At 42.7% G+C, this 25,806-nt stretch overlaps 1 long non-coding RNA gene and 1 pseudogene across 4 annotated transcripts in view; both read left to right on the top strand.

The window, feature by feature from the left end:
• CABYRP1 (calcium binding tyrosine phosphorylation regulated pseudogene 1) lies at positions 9,490-10,695 on the top strand (annotated as a pseudogene).
• LOC105377095 (uncharacterized) overlaps positions 23,135-25,806 on the top strand; it is a 48,956-nt gene continuing 46,284 nt past the window's right edge. For 3 of the 4 annotated variants that reach the window (XR_940848.3, XR_940850.3, XR_940849.3), the window contains exon 1: positions 23,623-24,606. This is a non-coding gene — a long non-coding RNA (uncharacterized LOC105377095). Of the gene's footprint in view, positions 24,607-25,806 lie in introns of all 4 variants that reach the window. The other variant, XR_001740708.2, reaches the window with a different exon arrangement.

The raw sequence follows: 25,806 nt of genomic DNA, 5'->3' as shown, positions 1-25,806 counted from the left end.
GTCAGGATTTATGATACTTGCTTCCAATAGCATCCCATAGGGCACGTCCTTGTGGGTAAGGGTTGTTGTTGCTTTTATTCCAAGAAGAACAGTCTTCTGAAATTTGGGAGGAAGTTGCATAATTCTAAGAAAAAGGTTATAAAACAGGGCCTGGTACATTCCTCATCACCACCACCACCCAAAAAATGTTAAATGAAAAATGTAGAAAATGAAATTCCCTGCATATGATCCCAACTGTACACACACACACACACACACACACACACACACACACATACACACACACACATTTTTAAAAAGACTGGTAAGAAAAACACTAAGTTAAGTGATTGCTCTTAGGTAGTAAGATTATTACTAGTTATTATTTTTTAACCTCTGCTTTATTTGGTTTGGTTCTTTATATTCTTCAGTACTTCCTGATTTTCCTACAGTGAACATGCTTTACTTTTTTAATAGATATCAAAGACAATAATTGTTTTCTATCTAAATTTATACTACCTATCACAAAGGAAGTCACTTTGACTTTTTAAAAACATAATGGCCAAATGAAAGCAAAAAAGTAGCATATTTGGTGCAATCTATTGGTGAAAGAAAAACATTTCCAGTTTTTATGTACTGTATCCAGAGACTTAAAGATTTATGATTGGTCATGTAGTAGAATAAAATATCTTGAGAGAATGAGTATGTCTAATTTTCATTTTAAATCCTCAATTTATAAAAGTTACTATGGCTCATTTTTTAAAGTTTTGTCATATAAAATAGAGGTACTTGCAAATATTGAGACCCTCAGGAGTTGTCATTTAGCATCTCTGGAAAACATAACATTTAATTATCATAGCATGAGGTACTTTTAATGCACATTTCAACATCGCGATTGAGGACTGATTTCTGAGAGGCAAATTCAGTGATATTTCCACTCACGTGCCTTATTTAAATACAAACTACATGCACAATTATCCTTGATCCCACTGCCACTTAAAATATAGAAGTGAAAATACAAGATACTCATAGGTTTTTTTCCTCAATAACTACAGTCACCAAAAGAGTAATAATTACCAAATACCCCTAAAAGGTTTGGAGGCCCTGTTTGCTAACCAATATCCACCATGGGATTCAAATTCCAAAGCTAACCTTTTTGCTATCAGAGCCGTTTCAGATGAGTTTTACTCCAGGAAGGAAGATAATATTATTTTTATTAATTACCTCTAAACACAAAATTTGTGATTTTTATTCAACCTTTGCTCAACTACATACTTCTTCCTTTTGTTTTCTAAAAGGAATAAATATAACTTCTTATTTTGTATTACCCATTTGCTCTCTAAGATGGCAGGAGTATTTTTAAAGAGGTAAGGCAGGCAGACAACCCAACAGAGACATCGGAGGCAGTACCTTTCCCTGAGAGTCCCGCTATTGTACCAAGTGAGGGAGGATTAAGGAAGGGCTGGTGGGCACTTGGGCTCTTCACAAATACTTACAGTTCTCCCCTCTGTGAGCACATGGTGGGATTGTACTTCTCTCTTTTGAAATTAGGGTGGCCATATAACTGATAACTGTCTGTGACCGATGGTTTGTGTATAGAAGGTTGAACTTTAGAGAGCCAAGCCATGAGTCATCACACCTTCTTCACTTGCCAGGGAGATGGTGGGAGCACATGTCAAGGCTTCCATCAGCTTGAGTCAGTCCTCAGGTGACCACAGGAGCAGAGGCCCTGTCCCAACCAACAGTGGAGAAATATACTTTTATTAGGTTAAGACACTAGGATTCGAGGGTTATTTGTTACTGCAGTGTAACTAAGGCCATACTGATTGTATAGAAAAAAAAAAAGGGAAAAGAGATTTTGAATTCCTTCAAAGCCTTTTATATTCCTGTTGAAACATCCATTCCATTTGGTAAATTATAACTAAGTTAAATGGACTCCTTAGAAAAAAGTACAAAATCATCCTTACAACATGTAAAGGTCACTGTGTTATAATCAAAACATTTTCATTATAAGCTTCAGTTCAATCGTTTAACTCTAAATCCATATTTACTATGTTACTGGGATGAGTTTACAGGTACCTGTGAGCTCTCTAAGGAGAATTTTTAATTTGACGTTTTCATGTTGATGATAAACTAAATTGATGTAAGCATATTCTGTACCACCTGGATGGCCAACCTACACAAGGCAAAGCCCAAGTTTGCATTTGTGTTTACTTTATGTTGGTGCCAATGGTACCACTTTGTCAAAGGCTAGTGAGTGAAGAACTGAGTTGGCCATAACTCTGACATACTGCATTTGTACCAAAGGAGTTCACAAAAAGCCAAGATGGCCAGCATCTTGTTTCAAGCAGTGATTTACTTCCAAAAAACAATATCTTTCACAAACCATGTCTTTCTAAAGTTAATGCAGTTAACTTTAATTGCATTTGTTTTATTGTTTGACTTTAACCTATAAATTAGTTTTCTGTTTTACGGTTTTATAAGAACTACAAACATAAGAAGTTTATATCCACTTTTCTGCAATATGCATTTAAGTAATATCATAATTCAAATAGCAGAAGTCCACATGGTGGTGGTGGTAGGGTGTGGTTCTGGGATGATTTTTCTTTTAAAAGGCCGGAAACATTGTTCATTTCAGGCAAGTCTCAAAGTAGCTCTGTCTCTTTAAATGAGTAAATTGTCAAGTTACATGAATTTATTCATTCAAGTTTATCTAAAAGAGTTACCTGAAAACCAAAGAACTGGCTCGAGGGCTCCACGAATCTCCACTTCATGCTTGTGATAGAGGATGCCAGAGAGAGAAAGAAGAGAGATCAAATGCTCTGAAAACCAAGAGTCAGAAATGATTAAAAAAAAAAAACAACAACAGGCATTTATGGCTCTTTTTGAAGCCAGGACCTGTTGCAGCAAAATATCTCTTTATTTGTATTGATATCAGTAAGATGAAAAGGCTTCTCTAACCATTCTCATATGCACAGTTCTTTGTTATTTTGTTAAGACTAATAAGGAAGTCATGTGATATTTAAGAACTGGCGCATTCTTCACTAAGAACACTGGCCAAAATAGGGTCAAAGCAGAGTACTTTACATTACTGAAAGCAATGCAACTTTGCTTTTAGTCCCTTTTTCTTTGTTTGAATTATTGATTTTTGCCTAATGATTTAACAAATTTCTCTTTTACTATAATAAATACTAGCTTATGTTTCCTCACTGCACCTAAAGCCGCCTATTCCTAAAGATGTGCCTGGAGAATCAGGAGAACAAGCAGAACCAGTAGCAGGTGCCCAAGAAGAGGGGCTGATGCTGATGCTGACTACAAGGAAAATCCTAACCCGGTCAGCCGGAGAGCACAAGTGTATACCGCCACAGAATCATACCCGTGAAAGCACTTAGAAATCAGCACAACACTATCCCGAGGGAAAATGAAATCAACAAAGGGGAAGAAAAAGATGATGAAGATAATGAAGGTTGATGATGAAGGAAAATGATAAAAATGATGACAAAGGTGAATATGATGGTGATAATGATGGTGATGAAGATGACAGTCTGGATTCTTTCATGGGTTCAGCATCATTTAGCATCTCATGCCATGCACAATGCCCTCTAAAAGAAGAAAAAGACCAAAAGAGTTAAAACAAGTAGCTGGGCGCAGTGTCTCATGCCTGTAATCCCAGCACTTTTTGAGGCCGAGGCGGGTGGATCACCTGAGGTCAAGAGTTCGAGAGCAGCCTGACCAACATGGTGAAACCTTGTCTCTACTAAAATACAAAAATTAGCTGGGCATGATGGCACATGTCTGTAATCCCAGCTGCATGGGAGGCTGAGGCAGGAGAATCGCTTCCACCTGGGAGGCAGAGATTGCAGTGAGCCGAGATTGCACCTCTGCACTCCAGCCTGGGCAACAGAGCAAGACTCTGTCTCAAAAAAAGGGAAGAGTTAAGATGAGGACTCTGCCCTCAGTGAGCTTCCAGGCCAGGACAGGAGGCAAAGCAAGAAAATACATACAACATAAGAAAAGACTGTCGAAAAGACAGGGTTTTCTCCTGCTCAAAACAAAGGTTCTTAGCCTTTGGTTTTCTGGTCTAGTTTGACAGATTTCATCCAGAGTCAAGCCCCTTGGTCACGCTTTGCCACTATGTGACAGGTTCATTCATTCATTCATTTATGGAACAACGATTTGTTGTTGTCTAGCCCCATGTGGGGCCATGGGCTCCAAGTGCTAGGAGAAAACCTGGGCTTCCACCTTTGTGGAGTTTCCAGCAGAGCTGCTGTATGGGCCTGCTTCCTACCTGGCCACACTCTCTTATGTGCTCATGAAGCAAAGTGTTTGCACATTTCCCAAATTATGAAATCTTTCTTTGGTGCCAGCTTACTATTAAATTATGCCTTTTACCTCCTTGTAGCAGACGGTGACAGTGCCGCTCAGCATCACATTCTGTCTGCTCAGTGCTATGTTGGGAGTGTCCTCAGTGTAAAACAAATTAACTTTATGCATTCATCAAAATGTGACAGGTCACCTCTGAAGGACTGAGGCCACACACACCAGTTGATAAATACTGTCCTGAAGTATAGGAAGGCAAATTCGGTCCATACTTTTAGTGTACTAACTACCTCCCAGTATTCTGGATTTGAAAAGCACTTTCACAAAAACACTTCCCCATCATCTTAAATTCATTAAACTTTGTATTTTAAAGAGGAAATATAATTCATTGTATCCTGATTTGTTTGCACTTATTACAGCATTGTTTTGAAAAAGCTGATATGCAAAAAGCCTTTTTCATCAGCTTATTCAAGAGCTTTTCTCTTCAAAGGGAAGAAAAGAATCGGACAGTGTTTATCAAGGGTAAACAAACCAAGGCCTAAAATAAAAATCCAAGTGCATTTCTAAAGCCTGAACTCACCAGGAGCCAAGGAGGTTTGAAACTTAAGGTCCCTCCTCCCTCTCTTGGAAAAGGAGTGAGACTCAGAATCAACTGCCCTGCCTTCCCTGGGGAAGCTAGTGAGGCTTGCTCTCATGCTGTCATTGAGCAAACCTTACCGCGTGCTCTGGAGCTGGGATGTGTGTTTGCAGCAGCCAATAAACACTCCTAATGATGCGCTCAACAAAAGCCCATATTTTGAGCCTTGTCTTCGCTTTTCATGTTGTTTTGCTCAGTGAAAGGATCAAAGCAATGAGGCTACTTTTCCTTCGCTCAATCAGACAGGAGTTCTTTGAAGTAAATGTGTTATTTTGCTTTTGCTTTTTTCCTTTTCTCCTTAAGGAAGAACCTTGATAATCAGAGGCTGACTTTGTAGATTTCCTTAATGCTACTCCCTTAGCAGGTGCACGTGTCTCAGGAAGACGAGTCTGTAATATCTTTTTGCTCGGATTTCCCCTTCTTCTTTTCCACTTGATGAGAGCCATCGGGTGGGTTTTCACGTGCCCAGGATGGTTGAGAACATCTAAAGACAACATTATCCATTCATCAAGAACATCTGAAAATAAAGATACAAGAGTTCAGATGAACAGAAAAATAAATCAGGGGATTTTGAAAAGGCATTTGTAGTTACAGCTCAAGGCTGTCTTGTTTTTAAAAAAAAAGTATCAAAATAACTCCATTAATGATTATCTCAAAAGCAAAATGACGCTGAAAGCTTGTTACTATGGTTCCTGCTTCCACAGGGAATTCAAAATATCTTATAAAAAAATAATGGGATGGTGAATAAAAAAAGATGAAGAAGTCAAGCTGAGCATGATGTCTTCAGGAGCCTTTCAGTGGCATATACTGTACAAAACCAGAGTTTCTCAAAGAATGGGTATTTTTCTAATGGGTGATAATAATAACAGCAGCTAATGTGTATTGAACACTTACTATGAGCTAGTCATTGTACTGTTTTCATGTACTATCTCTTTTAATCTTTATATGAACCCTGTCAAGTGCTAGCATGCTATCAGTCCCATTTTGCGGAAGAGAAAACTGAACCTCAGAATGCCCAAGTGACAAAGAAAGAACCCAACCCAGATCAATATGATGCCAAAGCCCAGACTCTTGAGCACTGCAAATGTGGTTTATCAGAAACCTGTTATGTATATTCATTCTATTCAAAGGCTGAAGTCACATCTGTCCTGGTTAAGCAAACTGAAGCAATAATCTGACTTGGACAAAATTCTTTTTTCACTGTTAATTAGCTCAAAGAAAGAGAAATTGTTTTAGAGACGTTTCCAGGCATTCCTTCAACAACCCCTTTTGTATAGTGGTAGTATAGACTTACTTCCCTGTACATTTTCCCTATCAAAGCTTGAGTAAGATTGTCAAAACCTATTAAACTATACACCTAAAATGCCAGGATTTTCTCATATGTAAATTAGACCTCAGAAAGTTTTTCCAAAATAAAGATCCCAGAAATTCAACAGGAGATGTTCCCAATATGTTTTCAGCTTCACCATTTCCTAGATTTTATGTCAAATTTTTATTAAGTCAAACTATGTGAAATTGCCATTTGTGTATGCCTATGTCAGTTCCATACAGATTTCTTTTAAGTATTTTGTTTGTTTGTTTTTGAGACAGAGTCTTACTCTGTCACCCAGGACAGAATGCAGTGGAGTAATCTCAGCTCACTGCAGCCCTGGGATTACAGGTTTGCGCCACCATGCCCGGCAAATTTTTGTTTTTTTGGTGGAGACGGGGTTTCACTATGTTGGCCAGGTTGGACTCGAACTCCTGGCCTCACGTGATCCACCTGCCTTGGCTTCCCAAAGTGCTGGTATTACAGGCATGAGCCACCGTACCTGGCCTTTTTTTAAGTTTTAAATAGTGTTAACACACTTGTGCAATGTAATCTGCAGCTATTCTCACCTATTGTCTTAGTAATACATTTTGATTTAGAAAAACATTTTCTTTGCCAGCAAATGCACCAGGGGAATGGAATTTCTTTAATTGTGTTCCTTTCTTTTTCTTTTTTTAAATTTAATTTTATTTATTTATTTTTTTGAGGTGGAGTCTCACTCTGTGAAGTTGCTCAATCCCTGCTCACTGCAACTTCAGCCTCCCAGGTTCAAGTGATTCTCCTGCCTCAGCCTCCTGAGTAGCTGGAATTATAGGCACATGCCACCACGCCCAACTAATTTTGTATTTTTAATAGAGACAGGGTTTGACCATGTTAGCCAGGCTGGTCTTGAACTTCCATCAGGTGATCTGCCCTCCTCAGCCTCCCAAGTGCTGAGATTACAGGCATGAGCCACCGCGCCTGGCTGATTGTGTTCCTTTCTCACAGATTTTGTTTCTGTTTTTGTTTTCCTGAACACTCAGCTGGACTGCATTTCCCAGCTTCCCTTGCAGTTAAGTCACAAGTAGCGCTGTGACTGGGTTCTGCCCGGTAGAAGGTAAGCAGAAGTGATGTGTATCACTTCTATGTGTGGCCTCCCAAAACCTCCTAAAGGTTATGTTCCCCTCTTTTTCCCCATCTATGGCCTGGAAAGTGAAATATTATGGAGCCTTTGGCTGAGACACAAGACAGAAGAAACCCGGGTCTCAGAATCAGAGTGTGAAAAACCTGACAGACCAGCACGTGAGAGAACAGAATTAAACTTCTGTTGTGTTAAGCCACTGAAATATGAGAACTTGCTAGTGAAACTAGTGTTACTTTTACCAACAGTCTTTCTTTCTTTACCTTCCTTCCTTTCAATAACATTTACTGCAGATTTTCTATGACCTTTAGAGACCATTCAATGTATCAAAATGAAGCAAATGGCTCTTCAAAGAGTTGCTATCGAAATACATTCAAGGTTACTGCAGCAAATACACTTCCTGTTTGTAGAAGACATCTTGTTATCTGCTGCCCATCATTGATTCACCCTCTTCCTGGGAACAATCTCCCCATATTTCCTTTGGGAAACCATCCCTCCTCCCTACCTAACCATGTGATTTAGGTGAGGTTGAAACCCCCAACAATGTGTAGGCCCTGATCAGCTTTAGCCAACCAGTATCTCCCGACCCTCTGGCTCTAGGGATTGGCCAGTGACACACGAGGGGATGAGGGGGCGTCACTGAATCCTTCCAGCAAGGAAAGATTTCTCATCCTCTGCAAAAACTAGTGCAAGAAGACCCTCTCTCTAAACCTGGAGAATGTGTTGCAATGATGTTACAGCCTGGAACTCTGCAGCCATCTTGTTGCTGCTAAAGATAAGCTGGTCTGCCAGGACTATGTGAAGCCTGCAGATGAAGACGCTGCTCCATGAAGAAAATCTGAGGGTCATGGAGGACCTCATCTCACTATCTGGGTCTGACTTCTGGTCTTCCGGACTTCTCAACTTCATGGGGCTATTACTCTCTTATTGTTCAACCAACTAGAATTGGGTTTTTGGTTGTAAATTATGTAACTTTGTTATTCATTCATTTATTCATTCAATCATTCATTCTGAATTTGGCTGAGTAAAGAAGGATGCCAATTTGTATGAACTAAGGAAAACTCAATATTGAAATGCACATACTATTTTCTGTTTTATGAAGGTTGTTTTTCTTCTCTTAACAATTACTAAAGCTTCCAAACTGAGCCTAACTATAATAGCACAATGATTCCTGCAATGATAATTGAGCCTCAGCATTCAGGAAGAATTCAAGCTAGACCACTGCTGATTGTCAAAGAAATCCATCAAGTACTTTATGAGTATTGCATTTATTTGTACATCCCATACTGTGATACATACTCATTATGTAAGTTAGAGTTGTAATAATTTGTTCTAATACATCATGTTTTCAAATATTATATAGAAAATAACATGTAACTGTAGATCAGGTGATGTTGTACCCCAAAGACCTTTCACCAGCTACTCTTGTATTTTGGCTGAAGCATAGCTCACTCTCCTCATGGCACTGGCCTTCATGGCCTTTATTCATTCACTCATTCTGAAATTTGGTGGATAAAAATTGATGACTTATAAAAAATAGAAAATTGACTCCAAAAGGAGCTCATGATACTGAGCATGCCATTGAACCTGCAGCTACTTTCGTTTTGTTTTTATTCAAACCTTCCTCATCTTTACTGCCTATGTAAGTTAATACCCTTTTGGCAACAAGTGACAAAAGGAAAAAAAAACAACCCAAAATGACTTAATCAAAAATAAGAGAGAATTTATTTGCTCTGGTGACTGAAATATCCGGGGTAGATCTGGCTTCCAGTGTGATTGAACCTAGGGGCTTACACAATGCCAGCAGATTATTCCAATCTCACTTTCTGTCTCTTGTCTGTTCTCTTCTGCGGCCACCCTTAGGCAGGCTCTCTTCATGTGGTGGTGCCCAGCAGCTGCATTCTTCATCATAGCTTCAAAGCCAGTAGAACAGAGCCTTCCCCAAAGGCCCTGCTTGGCTCAAATGCCCATTGCTAAGCCAATCTCTGTGGCTAAGGGTGGGGGACATGCAATGCTCTGATTGGCCAGGCTCATAGTACTCATACAGTCAGCCCTCCATATCCGCAGTTCTGCATAGATGGATTCAATCAACTGCAGATCTAAAATATTTGTTTAAAAAATATTCCAGCAAGGGGGCAACAAGGAAGCTCTTAAGAGCACAGCTGGAAAGAAGCTGAGTTACAGATATCCTGCCAAAATAATTTCTTCAAAGCCCAGACTTGCCGTACCCTATGGCCTCAAGACTCTGCTCAGGAAAATTAGCAAAGCCGTTCTCAAAACCAACCCACCGAACATGACCCAGTTTGCAGCAGTTTATTTTAAAGAACTTATTATGTATAGAGAAGGGACTACTTCTCTGGATGAAGTGGTCAGAGGGAACAGAATCTAAAGTGCCTACACAGATGGAAAAATCTACAAAGACAATGTAACCGGAACAGGATGTAGTGACAAAACCACCCAGTTTCCATCCATTTATGCTGAGCTAGGCACTGAGCAAACTGAAGCAGTTCGTGATCTTTCTTCCAAACCAGCCACCCCTAAGACTACTACCCCACCCTCATAACCATCTCCAACAGCTGTTTCACCAGAGTTTGCCTATGTCCCAGCTGACACAGCTCGGTTTGCTTCTCAGATATTAGCAATGGCAGCAAGTGAAGCAGGACAACCACGACGATATTCTAACATGTGGACCCCTTATTGTCTAACTGATAAGAATCAACAAAGTCACCCATCACTGCCACCTGCACCTGGGCCTTTTCCCCAAGCAACTCTGTCTATCTAATCCTAAGGATCCACAGTTTCTGCAGCATCCACCAACTTACAAGATGATCTCCAACTTACAAGATGATCGAAGATAGTAAGACCAGTGCCCCACCTTTTATCTTAGTAGGCTCAAATGCTCAGAAAGCAAAGGAATGGAAACCTCTTTCTGGACATGCTGTTGTTTCAAAGTCAGAAGTTTTGAAGAGATATGCTGCAGTATAAGTGCCCATTGCTGTTCCTGCAGATGAGAAATTCCAGAAACTTACCTTAAGCCCCCAGAATGCTCATCTTGCTACAAGTGGACAAGATGTCCCCAGGCCAGAAAGCCTTGTTTTTCTTTCTGTTGCTTTCTTAGTAGAAGGGGTAGCTTTAAAAAGTTCAGGATCTGGTGACAAATGTGCTCCCTTTGGAAGTTACAGTATTGCTTGGGAGATAACTGTGACTCATGCTCACAAAGTTCGCAAAGCAGAAACTTAAAACTGATCCAGAAATGACGCTGTTTGGGTCAACAAACGTTCAGGGAGGAGTCTGCCACCAAGTGTAACATATCAATAAACTTCACACAAGTACAAAAAATATATATATTCTACAAAGGTTCAAAAAGCAAAACTTGAATTTGCCGCGCAACAAGTACTAGAATGAATCCACACAAATGAAGTGATGTGTAGGCATTGTGTTAGGTATTATAAATAATCTAGAAATGATTTAAAGTATATGGGAGGATGTGCGTAGGTTATGTGCAAATACTACACCAGGTTATATCAGGGAGTTGAGCACCCACGGATTTTGGCATTTGTGGGGGTCCTGGAACAAATCCCCCATGGATACTGAGAGATGATTGTAAATCCTCTGGAGCATATGGACTGAAAATGATGCTGTTTCTTTCAGAAAAAGGAATGAGGGAATGGACACTGGATGCCTGTATTAGGGCGCTTAACATTAGCTACTATAACAAGCAATCCCACGTATCCATAGCGTGACTCAACAATCAGTTGTATTTTTCACTCGTGCAAAGTCAAATGCAGAGATGTTCTGGTTGGGCAGTTCCCTTGGCAGCTCTCCACCAGCACTGACTCAGGAAACCAAGCCTCTTCCATCTTGGGAATGCTATTACCCACATCACATAGTCTCCAAGGTTGTTGTGGAAGGGGCAAAGTGAACTGGATGAAGCATAACTGCTCTCAGCTGCCTTGGCCTTGAAATGACCCAGCAATCTGCCCTTGCATTCACTGGTGAGAACTTAGTCACAAGGCCCACACAGATGCAAGGGGGCTGGGAAATACAATTTAGCCATGTGCCTAGGAAGAGGAAACAGATTTGTGGCCACCTGGCTTATCTCTGATACAAAGGCAAACACAATCCATTTCAAATACACAGCCAGAATTGCCCACTGGCTCTACTCTGGTCAAACATTGAGTCAGGGCCAGCAGTGTCCTGAGAGGTGATCTGGTTCCACTCTCTAATTGAACAGATGCAAAAGTAAGAAAAAAAGGGCCTTTCCCAGATCACTTGACACTGATGTAAAGCATATGGATTTAACTAAAAGTCTCAAAAAGGAATGAAGAGGCATTCCCTCTCTGCAGATGCCAGAAACTCCTTCCAACTACCAGCTTACGGAATCTTGCTCTTATCAAGCATGGAATAGTAGAAATGTGGCGGGTTTTATAGCCAGATAGCCCTGAGTTCAAATCCTAGTTCTATCTCCTTCTAGATTGAACAAAGAATTAAGCTCTCTGAGCCTCAATTTACTCCTCTCCCCAACCACAATATTCAACAAGCATTCAATTCCTACTCTCTTCTTATTTCCTACCGTAATACCAGTGATACCTAGAGTTTTCCAGGAGTGACTGATAGTTACTCTTGGGCCCAAGAGTATAATATATTTTCCCAACTTTTTTATGGTCAGGGCACTAAACCCAAAAATACTTCTACAGAAATCTGTAGAAGCTCTGAGGGTGAGGAAGTATCTCTTTGCAGAGGTGAATTAACCTTTGTATAGTAAACATTTTACCCCCAGAATGTACTTTGCTGATTCGATTATCACAGTTCCTGCTAGAACTTGGCTAGCTAAGCTGAAAATTGAGATATACTAGCTTCTCTCCAGGTCTTAAACAAGAATAATCACTTCTTCATAGGAGGAAGTGTCTCCATTCTTGGAGGTGACCAAATTCTAGGTCCTTTGCAAGCCTGTGCCTGGTAGACTACCATCTAGCAGGAGACCTCAACTCGCCATTTGAATAAGACACAAACTCTCAGTCCTCAGGCCAAAAGTGCATACCATGACTAAAGTGTTAAACAAACTGTCCGACTCCATGTTTCCAGGTCCTTTCTAAGGAAAGCAAGCTGTTTGCAAAGTCAAGGACTTCACCTGTCTCAGCAGGACCAGACCAGGAGACTAGCTTGGTTTCCAACACCAATAGCCACCCCAGGGCTGTGCGCAGCAGAAGCTTCCCCACCCCAGACAGCCCCCCAAATTTGGGATGGTCCTTCCCTTCCTTAACTCATCAAAACTTCACTTTGTTGCATGACTCATTGCCTCAGATCTTTGCCAAGCTCTCAATCAGCCAACCAACTTGATAATGTGATTCAAGGCTGCCAGTGATAGCATTTCCCAAAGAGCAAACATTCCTTTAAACAGAGGCCTCTTTGAGACAAACCACCTGCTTCAACCCCAGAAAAGTACATCTGAAAAGTAAGTTTGGTTGAGAAGGCATTTCTGTGTCCTGGGAATTCTATCAGTTTAGCTTTGTCTAAAAGTATGCTATATCACAAAAATTGGCCTCAGGTCTTGAGGCATTCAGTGATTCCTCAAGGAACATGGCCACGGATACTGTCTGAATTCCCTCCACATTGAATTAAGCTTCTGGGCAAGGGGCATTATAAGTGTAACACATTCATCATGTTTTGCATTTGCTTTTGCCAGGCTACACAAAAGGTCATTATAAAGTTTTTAAAATCTCATTTGGATATTTCTTAGAGGAGGTCTGCATTGTATCTATCCACACTTTCAGGAACATTATGGTTTCCTCTTCATAATACCAGCTTTTTAAAAGGCGTGTCTTTATTTCCTTCTGTTTCCTTTTGCTGGCCTTCAGAAACTGAGCCATAAAAGTGTGCCTGAAGTGTGGAAAGTGAAAACTGAGAAACAAACATATATTCATTCCACTTTGGGTTGGTTACTTTACAACTGACTCCTGCTTTTAAAAGGTACCTCATGGTATTACTGGGATGACAGAGATTTCTGTTCAGGATCCTGTCTGATAGGCTATAATTCAGGGCTTACTGAGAAAACAGTTACGGGAACACTTCCTGGAGGAGCTCACCACCCTCCCACGGGCCCTAAACCTTGATGATTTGCACCCCAACATAGATCCACACACATACCTCACTCCTGCCTCATTTCAATTCCAGTCACACCTGGATCTTACTTGCATTTCATAAGCACTCAAATACTGGGGACCGTTCTTAGTAACAGACGTGCTTAAATTTCTATTAGGCAGACAAGACACTGAGAGCTGAGGCCACTAACTCAGAGAACTGACCTCTAAATAGAAAGAGTCCTTGTTTTCATCTGGGTTAGGAGGGATGGAATCAATGTCTGTTCAACGCTCTGCCTCCCTGCACAGCTCATATAGCAGAGACAGCCCTGGCTGGGGAGTCAGGAGACCTAGGACTCTGCCAAGAACGAGATGTGGTGTGACCTTCTGTAACCTACTTTCACAGCCTCAGTTTCCTTTCTTGCAAAATGAGGTGGAGTGGGGAGAATTTGGTCTAGGTCAAACTCAAACTTTCTGTTGCTGGGAGGTGGTGTGGGGGAGGTTTTCCCTTCCAGGAAACAGAAGAGAGGTTGGATCCTCTCCCTAAGAAAACATGCAGAGACCCAAATGTCACATAAATGGATGGCTTGGGAGTATTAGCTTAATAACCTTCAAGGAAGGTATTCTTAAAACCCTCTCTAGTAAAATGACAACAAAATAGTTGATTCTTCTTTTCAAAAACCTGATGGTCATCCTTGAGTGTTTTTACTCTCACCTCTCCCCACCCCAATATCGAATCCACGTCGATTTCCCCACTGTGCTATCGACACAAGACAGACCCAAAGGCCCAGACACCCCCGTCCATGCTGCCACAGCATCTCTCACACAGACGCCTCTCCCTCTGATCTCCTACAGTCCATCAGTGGATTATCCCTGCCCCCATAGCTGGAGAGCTGCTCTGCCTGGTGGCTTTCTATGGCCCTGCATGGTGAGGCTCTGGCTTGGTCTCCCACCAGATTGCCACCCAGCCTCACCCTTCTGCTTTCTGTTTCTTGTATTTGCCAAACTTGTTCCTACTTCAAGGTCCCTCTGCCTGGACCACTCTGTCCCCAGAGCTTCACATGGCTTTAAGGTCTCCATTCAAATGCCCCCTTCTGGGAGAAGGCCACCTACAGTTACTGGCTTACCCATCTTCCTGCCATGGTGTTGTCACAGCACATATCACTGACTGGAATGATCCCATTTGAACAGCCTCTCCTCATTTATCCTGCCTGCCTCTCTTCCCTCCTTCTTCCACCCCTGCCACCAAAATGTAAGTTCTGCCAGAGGAGGGTCCTCACCTGTCTTGTTCACTCTGTAGTCTGGCTATGGTAGCTGTATAGTATATATTTGCTAAACTAATTAAATAAATTATAGTCAAATCATTCCTTTCACATCGTGTAATAAAACTAGTAGACTGGCTCCTGTTTTTAAAAATATTTTAATTGATTTTCATGAAGACATCAGTAGAATGCCATTAATATCGCCCCTAGGATTTATTTCTCCAGATTAAATTTCTCTTATTCCTCTAATCTTTCTCACCAGCCTCACTCTTATCCTCTTAATCACTTTCCAGGGCCTTCCCTGGAGGCTCTCCAATTTCTCCTTGTCCTCCTGAGAAGCTGAATAACCTTGTTCTTACGGGGACCCACAGTGAACCTACAGAGGGGGTGAGGCAAAAATTCTGCATGGCAGAGGGCTTAAAAATGGAGGTTTTCTAAGCTGGCATAGATTCAGATACAACCACTTTCTAGCTCAATGACCTTGAGTGTGTCACTTCCTCAGCCTTGGTTTCCTCCTCTGTAAAACGGGGCTGACAAAAATATCTCAAAGAGCAGTCTGTGGTGAAGCTTCCAGGAGCTTTTTCCAACAAAGCGCTTAGCATAAGGCCTGCTGCACACCAACACCTCAGTAAATTACAACTACTTACTAATAAATAGGCTAAAACTATAACCACTTTAACTAAACAGGGGAGCCGTGCAAGGATGCTGAGCTGTATGCAGGCAACATTCTACGTGGTTTCAGATATTGTAGGTGAAAAGAAAAGGTAAGCGAGAAGAAAGATTATTTATGAAAACCCTGAATAAAGCAAAGGGGGCATGAAAGACCGTCTAAAGCCTGTTCCTGGAGTGGCAGGCACGAAACAGACTTCACTAATTGTAGTGTGCACAGTGAAAGAGCCAACTGAGTGTGCAATAGAAGCAAATGTACAGGGCAAAAGTCTCACCTGCCTGAAGGCAAAGAACACCTCCTTTTCATTCCTGGAAGATGAGCTCATACAGGGATATCATCCAGGGTATCACACACCCGCCTTTTCAAATGCAGAGCACTCCTCAGCCCTGGAAGGAGTGGCAGAGGCTTGACTCCACTTCCTTCCTTTGGAGGCCCCAGGACCTGCTCAGAGATTCTTGTTAATGGAAGCCTTGCGGCCCCAGTTGGCAGACATTCACTGAGAGATACACAAGCACCAAACTCAGAAAGACTATTTTTAGGAGGTTTATGTTTAGAGCACACACTTCCACAATGACCCAGCACAATGGGGCAATTCTGAGGGTCCACCAGAACTGATGCACTGCAAAAGCAGTGGGTAGGCCTCAGAGTGCTTAGAGATCAGGATCCATCAGGCCACCCAAGCAGTGGAGTCATAAGCGGCTACTAAACAGAATGGATTGGATCCCTATGCTCTGACATAGAAAGATGTCCAAATATATTTGGTCTAGTGACAGAAGTAAGGTGCAAAACTCTCTGTAGGATAAGGGTCAGGGAGAATTCTCTCCTCTCCAGGAGGAGACTTGCAGCAAAGCCCCACACCTCCTTCCATTCCTCACTCAGCCTCCCCAGGAGAGCTGGCCTTGCCCTGCACCATGTGTCCTAGAGGGCAGGGAGGTGGGGGAAGTGCACGAGGCCTCCTAGGTCTCACGTTGCCTATTCCAGGCATAGCAGGGGCTCACACCATCTCTCAGTCCCTTTCCTGGGCTTCTCTTCTCCAGCAGGAAAGTAGGCAAGAGGAGATAAGCAGACCCATGCTTTCTCCCTTAGGCCCAGCTTCTCCTCTGACATCAGGGTGGGTGGGTCAGGCCAACTGTGCCCTGTGAGCCTGGCTGTCTCCAGTTCAAGGTGCCATGTGGTGGTCCCCTTACCAGAGAGCTGTCAAAACCGTAAAAGCTGGGTGGGTGCAGTGGTTCACGCCTGTAATCCCAGCACTTTGGGAGTCTGAGGCAGGAGGATCTCTTGAGGCCAGGAATTCAAGACCAGCCTGGGCAACATAGAAAGACCCCTGTCTCTACAAAAGATAAAATAGATTAGCTGGATGCAGTGGTTCACACCCATAATCCCAGCACTTTAGGAGGTCAAGGCAGGAGGATTGCTTGAGCCCAGGAGTTTGAGGTTGCAGTGAGCTCTTACGGTGCAACTGCACTCCAGCCTGGGCAACAGAGTGAGACCCTGTCTCTAAAAAGCATAAAAGTTAAAAGGATAAGCAGGGGTGTGCTGAACAGATCCCAAGAATGATGTTCAATGTGCCCTGGCCCATTCGTGTGTAATTTCCTCCCCTGACTGTGGGCTGGCCTAGTGACTTGCTTTTAACCTACAGAACATGGCAAAGTGGTGGGATAGCACAGTGTGATTGGTTCCTTCAGACAGAGTTTGCATCTTGCTGGCACACTCTGTCCCTAGCTGGCTGGGAGGAAGCAAGTTACTGTGTGCAGAGCTGCCCTATGAAGTGTCCCACATAAAAAGAAATGGAGGGTGGCCTCTAACTGACAGTCATAAGGAACTGAGGTCTTCAGTTTAAGAGCCCAGAAGAAACCAAATCCCACCAACAACTGTGTGAGTTTGGAAGTGAATCCTTCCTCAATGGGGTCTCAGATGAGTCTCCAGCCTTGGCTGATTCCTTGATTACTGACCTATGAAATACCCTGAAGCAAAGGATGCAGCTAAGTGGTGTCTGGCCCCTGTAAGATAACAGATGTGTATGAGTTTGTCAGTAAGTTCATGGTAATTCATTACATAGCAATAGGCAACAAATAAGGGAGCATTACTTGCCAATACTTTCAATGGCAAAAACTGCAATTACTTTTGCAGCAGCCTAATAAAATGAGAGTTCGTATAGCATGGCGGTTAAGAGCCCAGGCTTAGAGCCTGACTGCTTGGATTCAAATCCTGTCTCCCCCTTCAACCTCTTTGTGTCTAAGTTTCCTTATCCTTAGATGGAGGGTGGTACTCGTCCCACACCATGGCCTGATAGTAAGGATTAAAGGAATTAATTCCGCTAGAGTGCTTTGAACAACGTGTGGCCCCTGGTCAGAGCCCAGGAAAGGCTGGTTCATGCCTGTTTGTGTTCACTCATTGCTCTCACCCCTAAACTATCGAGAGCTATTTTCTCTAAGGAGGATTATTGTGGCAATTTTCACGTCCTAAGACATACATTTTTATGCTCTTTTTTTTCGTAGCAATGAGCATTTTTATCATTTTGTATGTGGAAAAAACAATACAGTTCTTTTTAAAATTCATATTAACTTCCTGTTAGGCCCTTATAAGGATGAGCTCTCTCTCAAGTTCCTATAAAAAAACAAAATTCCATGCAAGCCAGCTTAAACAAAATAGGGTGGCCTTGCAGGGTGGACTCTGAGGTATGGCACAGAATAGAAAGTTAGGAAATGTTCAGGGGTCTTGGAGGAAGCTGGGCGCAGGGACTGATAGCGTGGCTGGATGCAGGTGGACAAGGCCTTTGGCTCTCTCTTTGGCCACATGGTCTCTTTTTGCACCTCTCCTTTAGGTTTCTCTGAGCCCGTGGTAGAAGGTGGCAACCCACACTGTTTAGAATGACCAGACACCCAGCAGAAACTGATTAGCTCCTCCATGTCCCAACTCCAAATTCCCTGAGGAAAGAATCTGATGGGTCAGATGAACACTTCTGGTCCCACCTGCAATCACTGTGAGTAGGGCATAGGGTTTTCTAATACAAACTGAACTGCTGTGACTACACAGGTAGTAGCAGTGTAGAAAGAGGAGAGGAAAGCGAATGGCCAAACGGTGTCTGTTCCAAGTCCTTTCCTTCTTTTTACTAAGTGACGGTAGGAAATTAAGAATTTTGTCCAAGAAGCTTTCAGAGACTTTAGATGAGAGATCATGTTTGCCATAAACACTAGAACCCATGAGAAATTTCTCATTTGGAGAGAAATAGAGCAATTTCTTTTAATCAGCTGTATTCACCCTTCTCTCCTTGATACCCTGATCCACACAGGGTTGCTGCTATCCTACCGGGCATAAAACATCAGGGGTGTAAGAGGAGGTTCTGCCTAGCTGATGCTCTGTCTCAGTGTGGCAAGCCTAAGAAGATTCATGGGACCCCTGAAATCAGTACTTAATATACCAGTTAGTGGGCCATATTCATGTCACCCATAACCTACCTCAGGGAAGAATGTGTTCCTCCTCGCTCTGTCCTTGTAAAAATCACAGTTATAAACAAAGTACAGTATAGGCCCAAGTCCACAGCAAACTCTGCATCTCATACAATGATGCTAAAGATAAAAAATACTGTTCAACTTGAAATTATACCTCACTCAGTAGAAATTTATCTCAATTAGCATATTTATCTAATGAACATTCAAAGGGGAAAAACTAATTACTAGAATCATGGGCTCTCCTGGTTGGAAGGAAACTCACAGGTCAGTGTAAAAGCCTGTTCTCTCCCCTGTCTCTCCTACTCCCCAACAGGTACAGGAATTCCTTTTACTATGTCCCTGCCAGGTGGGTGCTAATTCTGCTTCACATCTCCATTTCTGGATAACTGTGGTTATCAGAAAATCTTGACTACAGTGGAACCAAAAACTGGCTTCCTTGTAACCTACCAATTGGCACATTTGCCCAAATTTTGCTTCTGAAACATCATAAACAAACCTTCTGCTTACCTCCAGACATCTTGTTTTATGAGATAATCAGGTTTTTGTCACCTAACCACTGCTAGTTGAGCTCTCCGTAAATTGTAATGAATCATGTTTTAGCCAATGACAGTTCACCAGAGCTCCGGGTGTCTAGCCTCCCACTCTAAGATTCATGTGACATTTCAAGACCCTACGTCAGTCCCACCTTTCTGACCTCTCTCCTCAATTCCATCCCTGTTTGTCAAATGTGTTGAAGAAAACTCAACACAAGCCCCCAGTGAAAGCTAACACAACAGAGCTCTAATCACCACCCCAAATTTCACGTTCTTGGCAGCCATCTCCCACCTGAAGGCTGCAGTTTACCGCAGCACCTGAATCTCTCTCCCAGACTCAGGCTGAGGCCCTTACCTGCCATCGTTGTGTAACTTGTCTGGACCCAAGGGCTGGACTTTGCATTTCTCTGTTATGCTCCAGGTTGCCTAACTTGACCTGGCTTTGCAGACTGTCGGCATTGCTCTGGCTCATTCTTCTTTCATCCAGTCTATTAGCTCTACTTCTGCCTCATGGTGGCCTGGAAATGTGATCAGCATGCCATCCATGTGCTCACCCACACAGCTAAAAAAAATATAAAAAATTAAAAAACTGAATAAGACAGCAGCCAGAGATGAAACGCAACACAATACTAGCAGTTGGCCTGACAATGATAACAGCCCTACCAGTGTCTCCAAAAATATACCACTTGATACCCATTTGGATTGAACTTTTTCTGGTATTAATGCCAGCAGAAGATGAAGGCAAGATTCATCCCACAGGCGCTAAAATGCTGAGGACAGAATGGTGAAGGGAGGTCAACACATCCCATGGGTCATTATTATAGCTGTTATCAGTCTCTCCATTCTGGGTATCCTATAACTGCAGCTTGCTAGGTCATGTGCAGCAACACGCAAGTTGAAAAGAACTCCTGGAGATTTAACAGCCTTGCTCTGAAAAGACTGCATTTTTATAGAATAAAGGTATTTGTTCCATAACAATAGAACATACTCATGATTTATAAAGCAAAGCAAAGATGTATGGCCTGCCATTCTAATAATATATATTTTTATTCTAGACACAATAAGCAGATCCAAAGGAAAGAGAACTCCTGGATGAAAGCAGGTATCTGTGATATCAAAAATGTAAGGGACAAAGACAGAGAAAAAAAAAACAAGGAAAAGAAAAATAAATGCCAGAAAAGCAACCAGAATAACTGCTTTGCATTTCCTAAAATCTGGATTTTGATCTTACCTACCATTTCCACTTCATCTCCAACATTCACCACTCTTCCACACTGCCACTACTACCATCACCACCAACCCCTCTACTGCCACTACTACCACCAGCAAAAATTCTATCTGTGCCACTACTACCACCAAGAACCCCACCACTGCCACAATCACCACCATTAATACCATGACTACAAATGACTACAATTACTCTGTTATAGCCACTAATACCACCAACATCATCATCACTGCCATATCACCATCAACAATATCACTATTACCAGTGATGACACCATCATTATTGCCACTGCTGTCAACACCATCACTACACTGAACCACCATCAAAACTTATCTTCCCTGAGCATTGCTCCAGATATCTAGAGGAAAAGGAGACCTGGGCTATAGTTCTGACTCTGCTAATTAGCTGGTGACCCTGAGCAAGTTACTTTACTCCTTTGTATGTCAGATCAATAAACAAGTTGAATGACTGGAAGAATTAATATTATATTACATCTGCTCTTAAGGTCAACAAAAATATAAAGCGTCAATAGAAATACAAAAAGTGCTGTAGAGACAAGTCAATCTAAGCATTTGGTCTCCACCTCCAGGACACACAGCTGCAGCTGAGCTGGAACACTCATTTCTCCATGTCTCTTTATTCCTCTAGGATCAGAGTTTCGTGTGTGTGTGTGTGTGTGTGTGTGTGTGTGTGTGTTTTCTTAGAGACAGGGTCTCACTCTGTTGCCTAGGCTGGAGTGCAGTGGTGCAATCATAAATCACTGCAGTCTTGAACTCCTGGGCTCAAGCAATCCTTCCACCTCAGCCTCCCAAGTAGCTGGGACTACAGCCATACACCATCACACCCAGCTAATTTTTAAATTTTTTTTTGTAGAGACAGGGTCTCGCTATATTGCTGAGGCTGGTCTTGAACTCCTGGCCTCAAGCAATCTTCCTGCCATGGCCTTCCAAAGTGCTGGGATTATAGATGTAAGCCACTGTGCCCAGCCTAGGATCAGAGTTCTTAACCACAAACCATGAAGTCCTCTAAAGCTGTATGCAGAAAAGGGTGTGTCTCAGCAAAGAACACTCATAACTTAGTATGTTCTCAAAGCGGTCCCTGTCCCTAAAAACATTAAGAGCCACTTTGCATTGCTAACCTTATTATTAAAAGACCTGGAAGTCAGAAGGAAAAGTCAGAATGGGGTAAAGAAGTTTGATTTTTGAGTGACTAGTCTGAGGTTAGAGGACCATCTAGGTCAAAGACAGATGTCTTGAGTCAGGTATCTGCTGACTCAAAGGTAGTCAGAAATCTTCATTTCCTTCATGGCACTTGATATGTTGAAGTTGTTTTTCATTTACTTGTTTAATATCTGTCTTCCCCAATTAGCATGAAGCTCCCTGAAGATGATGCTTGTTTTTGAGTGCTTTTTGTTTGTTTGTTTGTTTGTTGAGACAAGGTCTCTCTCTGTCGCCAGGCTGGAGTGGCGCCATCTCAGCTCACTGCAACCTCCGCCTCCCAGGTTCAGGCGATTCTCCTGCCTCAGCCTCCCGAGTAGCTGGGACTACAGGTGCACACCACAATGCCCAGCTAATTTTTGTATTTTTAATAGAGACTGGGTTTCACCATGTTGGCCAGGATGATCTCAATCTCTTGACGTTGTGATCCACCTGCCTTGGCCTCCCAAAGTGCTGGGATTACAGGTGTGAGCCACCATGCCCAGCCATTTTTGACTGTTTTTTTCACCCCTGTAGGTCACCAGGCCCTTGCACAGTTACTCACAGAAGGAAAAGGAAGATCTTAATATGAATCAACATCAACATTATGTGTAATGCTCAGGGTCTTGGTGTTAGTTTTTGACACTGCTTGAAGGTAAAATAAAAATAAATTGTTATTAGTCTCAGATACAACTAGAAACAAACTTTTAAATGATGATAAAATTGAGTGTAGGCAGGCATTTTGGTAAACTGGCCTTTCCAGCACCAGGGACACAGTGGGTGAAGCCTGGTGCTGATGTACTTGCCCAGGGAACACCCCAGATCCAGCTGTTCCTCTTGGGCAAGGGCCCTTGCTGCATGGATGGGCTACTTCACCTGCTTTCATTCTCTCAACCACAAGACAGGGAAGCTGGACTTGGTGCACCTCTAGCTTGGTGTCTGAGAACCTGGCTACACCAGCCAAACACCTTGGATAAGCCACCGCCCTTCGTGGCCTTGGCATCCTGCTCTGCTGATAGGGAGCTGATGAACCCTCTGAGGTCCTTTGCCTCAAAGGAAGGCCAAATTAGCTTCCAACTACCCCTCCTCTCTCTGTTGGGTATCAATGTCAAGGTTTATCCCAGTGGACTTTACTGCTTATATCACAGAAGTCAAGTGAAAAAGTCAAATTTTGCCTCAAGCAGTGGCCTTCCTTATTCAGGCCTCAAAATGCACTCTTAGGGGGAAAAATTCCTTCTAAACAAGGTTGGTGAAGGTTTCAGTGCCACTCTCATTGGACACTGATGACTTCACATAGTCTTTACCTAAACTACTCATTCTATTTGAACTAAAGTGTTAATGGTCCTAGGTTTCTGGAAGACCTGAGTCACCGGTGGACTGTCAGAGAGAGGAAACCACCCACCTTCCTGGCTCCCACGGAAGCAGGATTCAGCCAGCAGGGAGAGCCAGCTTCCAGCCTGCTGCCCAGGTTCACTGCTGAAGGTGGGTTAGCCAACTTCACCTCCCCCAAACCAGTGACTCTTTCTTGGGACTTCCGGACCAAGGAACCACCTCTTACCATTTCACACGGCAACTTGGATTCTATGTCTGCAGAAATGATCATCTCCTTCGAGCTGCTCTCATCCCTCTGTCTTTTCTCTCCATTAACCTGATTTCCTACCAGGCTTTTCTCAGTTATGTGGGAGGATGCAGAATTTAATCCTTATTCATTGTTCCTTGAGGATTTACCACATGACAGACACTGTTCTGAGCATTCTGCATGTATTAAGCCCATTTAACATGAGGTAGGTAGGGATTGTTATCATGCCTATTTGTGTTTGAGGAAACTGAGGCCCAGCAAGGGCAGGGAGTCAATCGTCTGTGCTCTATAAACACAGCGAACAGCCCTGAAGGAGTCCCCCTACTCTTGAGAAGCCAATGTTTCTAGAGTGGGGAGACAGAAAGTGAAGAAGAGAACAAATGAGGTAATTTCAGGAATAAATTAGAAGGACGTTTATGAAGGAGACTGGCCCAATCTCATTCTAGGTCACACAGTAGCTACTAAGGGGGGGCACTGGGCCCAGAACCCAGGCTATCTGACGCCAAGGGCAACCTAACATTGCACCCCACATCATTCTTCTTAAAGGGGCTTATCTGGCATTTCCTATATGGATTATGAATTATTACATATAGGCATTTCCTATGTGGATTATGAATTATTACATATAGAACAATGTAGCAAAGAAGAAGGTATTAAAAAGTTTCTTTTAAAAAATTCAGCAAATAATAACAACCAGATGAAGGAAACTTCTCTAGGTCATTTGCTTCAGATCCACACTTCGGATGAAAATGGCTGAAAAGGAGGCAGAGATGGCAGAAGACTAAAGGAAAGCGCCGAGCTGTGACTTGACGCCCATTCCAAGGGCAGTGTGGCTCTTGTGAGACCAAAAGAAGAGTAGGAATGAACGCGTGGGTCCTGTGAGCAGCGGGTGGCTTTGCTGAGCTTGGTGCTCTTAGAAGACCAGCCACTTTTGTCCCTGCAGCCCGGGGCCACAGAGCCAGACACCAGACCCACAGCAGCCCGGGAAGTAACGGTCGCTCTGTCTCGTCTGGGAAGATCTCCGTTGCCAGGGCTTGCTGGACCCGCCCCCGCACAGCTTCCCAGCAGTCCCGATTCCGCCTGAGGCTCCAGAAGGCGAAGCTGTACAGGAGGCCACTTTTCTTCTCAGCCTAGAACTCGAGAGACCTGAAAGGAAGGACGACTGGCCACAGGAGATGTTTCACAGAGCCGCTGAATGAACAACACAGTCAATTCTGATCAACTTTCCAGTGCTATCTGGGGTATGTGGGCGTGTACATCACATTATATAATCTGGAATGCTGAGTATATTTAATATATCTGCATATAATACAGGTTGCTAGATATATATATTAAGATCCAGCCGGACGCGGTGGCTCACGCCTGTAATCCCAGCAGTTTGGGAGGCCGAGGTGGGCGGATCACGAGGTCAGGAAATCGAGATCATCCTGACCAACATGGTGAAACCCCATCTCTACTAAAAATACAAAAATTAGCCAGGCATGGTGGCGGGCGCCTGTAGTCCCAGCTACTCAAGAGGCTGAGGCAGGAGAATCGCTTGAGCCTGGGAGGCAGAGGTTGCAGTGAGCGGAGATCGCGCCACTGCACTCCAGCCTGGGCGACAGAGCCAGACTCCATCTCAAAAAAAAAAAAAAAAAAAAATCCATACTTCCTTAAGATACAATCCTCCTAGGTTTGTAACTCCTAGGTTTCTGGTTCAAAGATCATAGAAAAAAAATTCCCTTTAAAAAAAAAGAAAAAGTTATCCAAAAGACATTCTTTTTACTAACTGTTCAATTATTCTTCATAGAGATTATACCAATGCAAACTTCTGCCAGCACTACTGACAACACTATTAATCATTGATATACATCTTAGACAATTGGGTAGGAGAAAAATGGCATCTTGTTGTGGACTTAATTTGCATTTCTTTGATTATTAATAGAGTTTTTAAAAATCCATATTTTACGTAATGTTTTTCTGACTTTAACAGGGGATTTGTAAACTCGGCGAGGAGAGCATTTGTAAAAGGGTTAAGTACCCCAGTTTTCTAACTGAATTACTACACCATTAAAATGAGCTCCGCACAACATGGCAGCAAATAGGCTTCTGTCTGAGAGACAGAGAAGGGTGTATATGGCTTCTTTACCAAATCGGAGAGCTGAAAACCCAAGCAGAGTCACGTCCTAGGAGTAGGCACTGACCGCCACAGTCACCTGCCCGTCCTGTCAAGCAACTTTTCCCAGCTAACCTGAGTTCCCATCCTAATTCTTTAAAGCACTGAAAAGTTTTTGAAAAGAAAGACACAAGAAATATTTCTCCAGTTTTTTCTATGACTAATTTAAGTTGTAGTAACACAATAGTACTTTTCACTTGAATAGTCTCTAAGATTCATTTTGAAAACAGCAGTAGCCACCTTGAGACATATTTATCGTGAGTTTTCAGCACTACACCAGTAGGGG

The sequence above is a fragment of the Homo sapiens genome, chromosome 3 (assembly GCF_000001405.40).
Source record: "Homo sapiens chromosome 3, GRCh38.p14 Primary Assembly".
NCBI lineage: Eukaryota > Metazoa > Chordata > Mammalia > Primates > Hominidae > Homo > Homo sapiens.
This window is presented reverse-complemented; position numbering and strand designations above follow the sequence as displayed.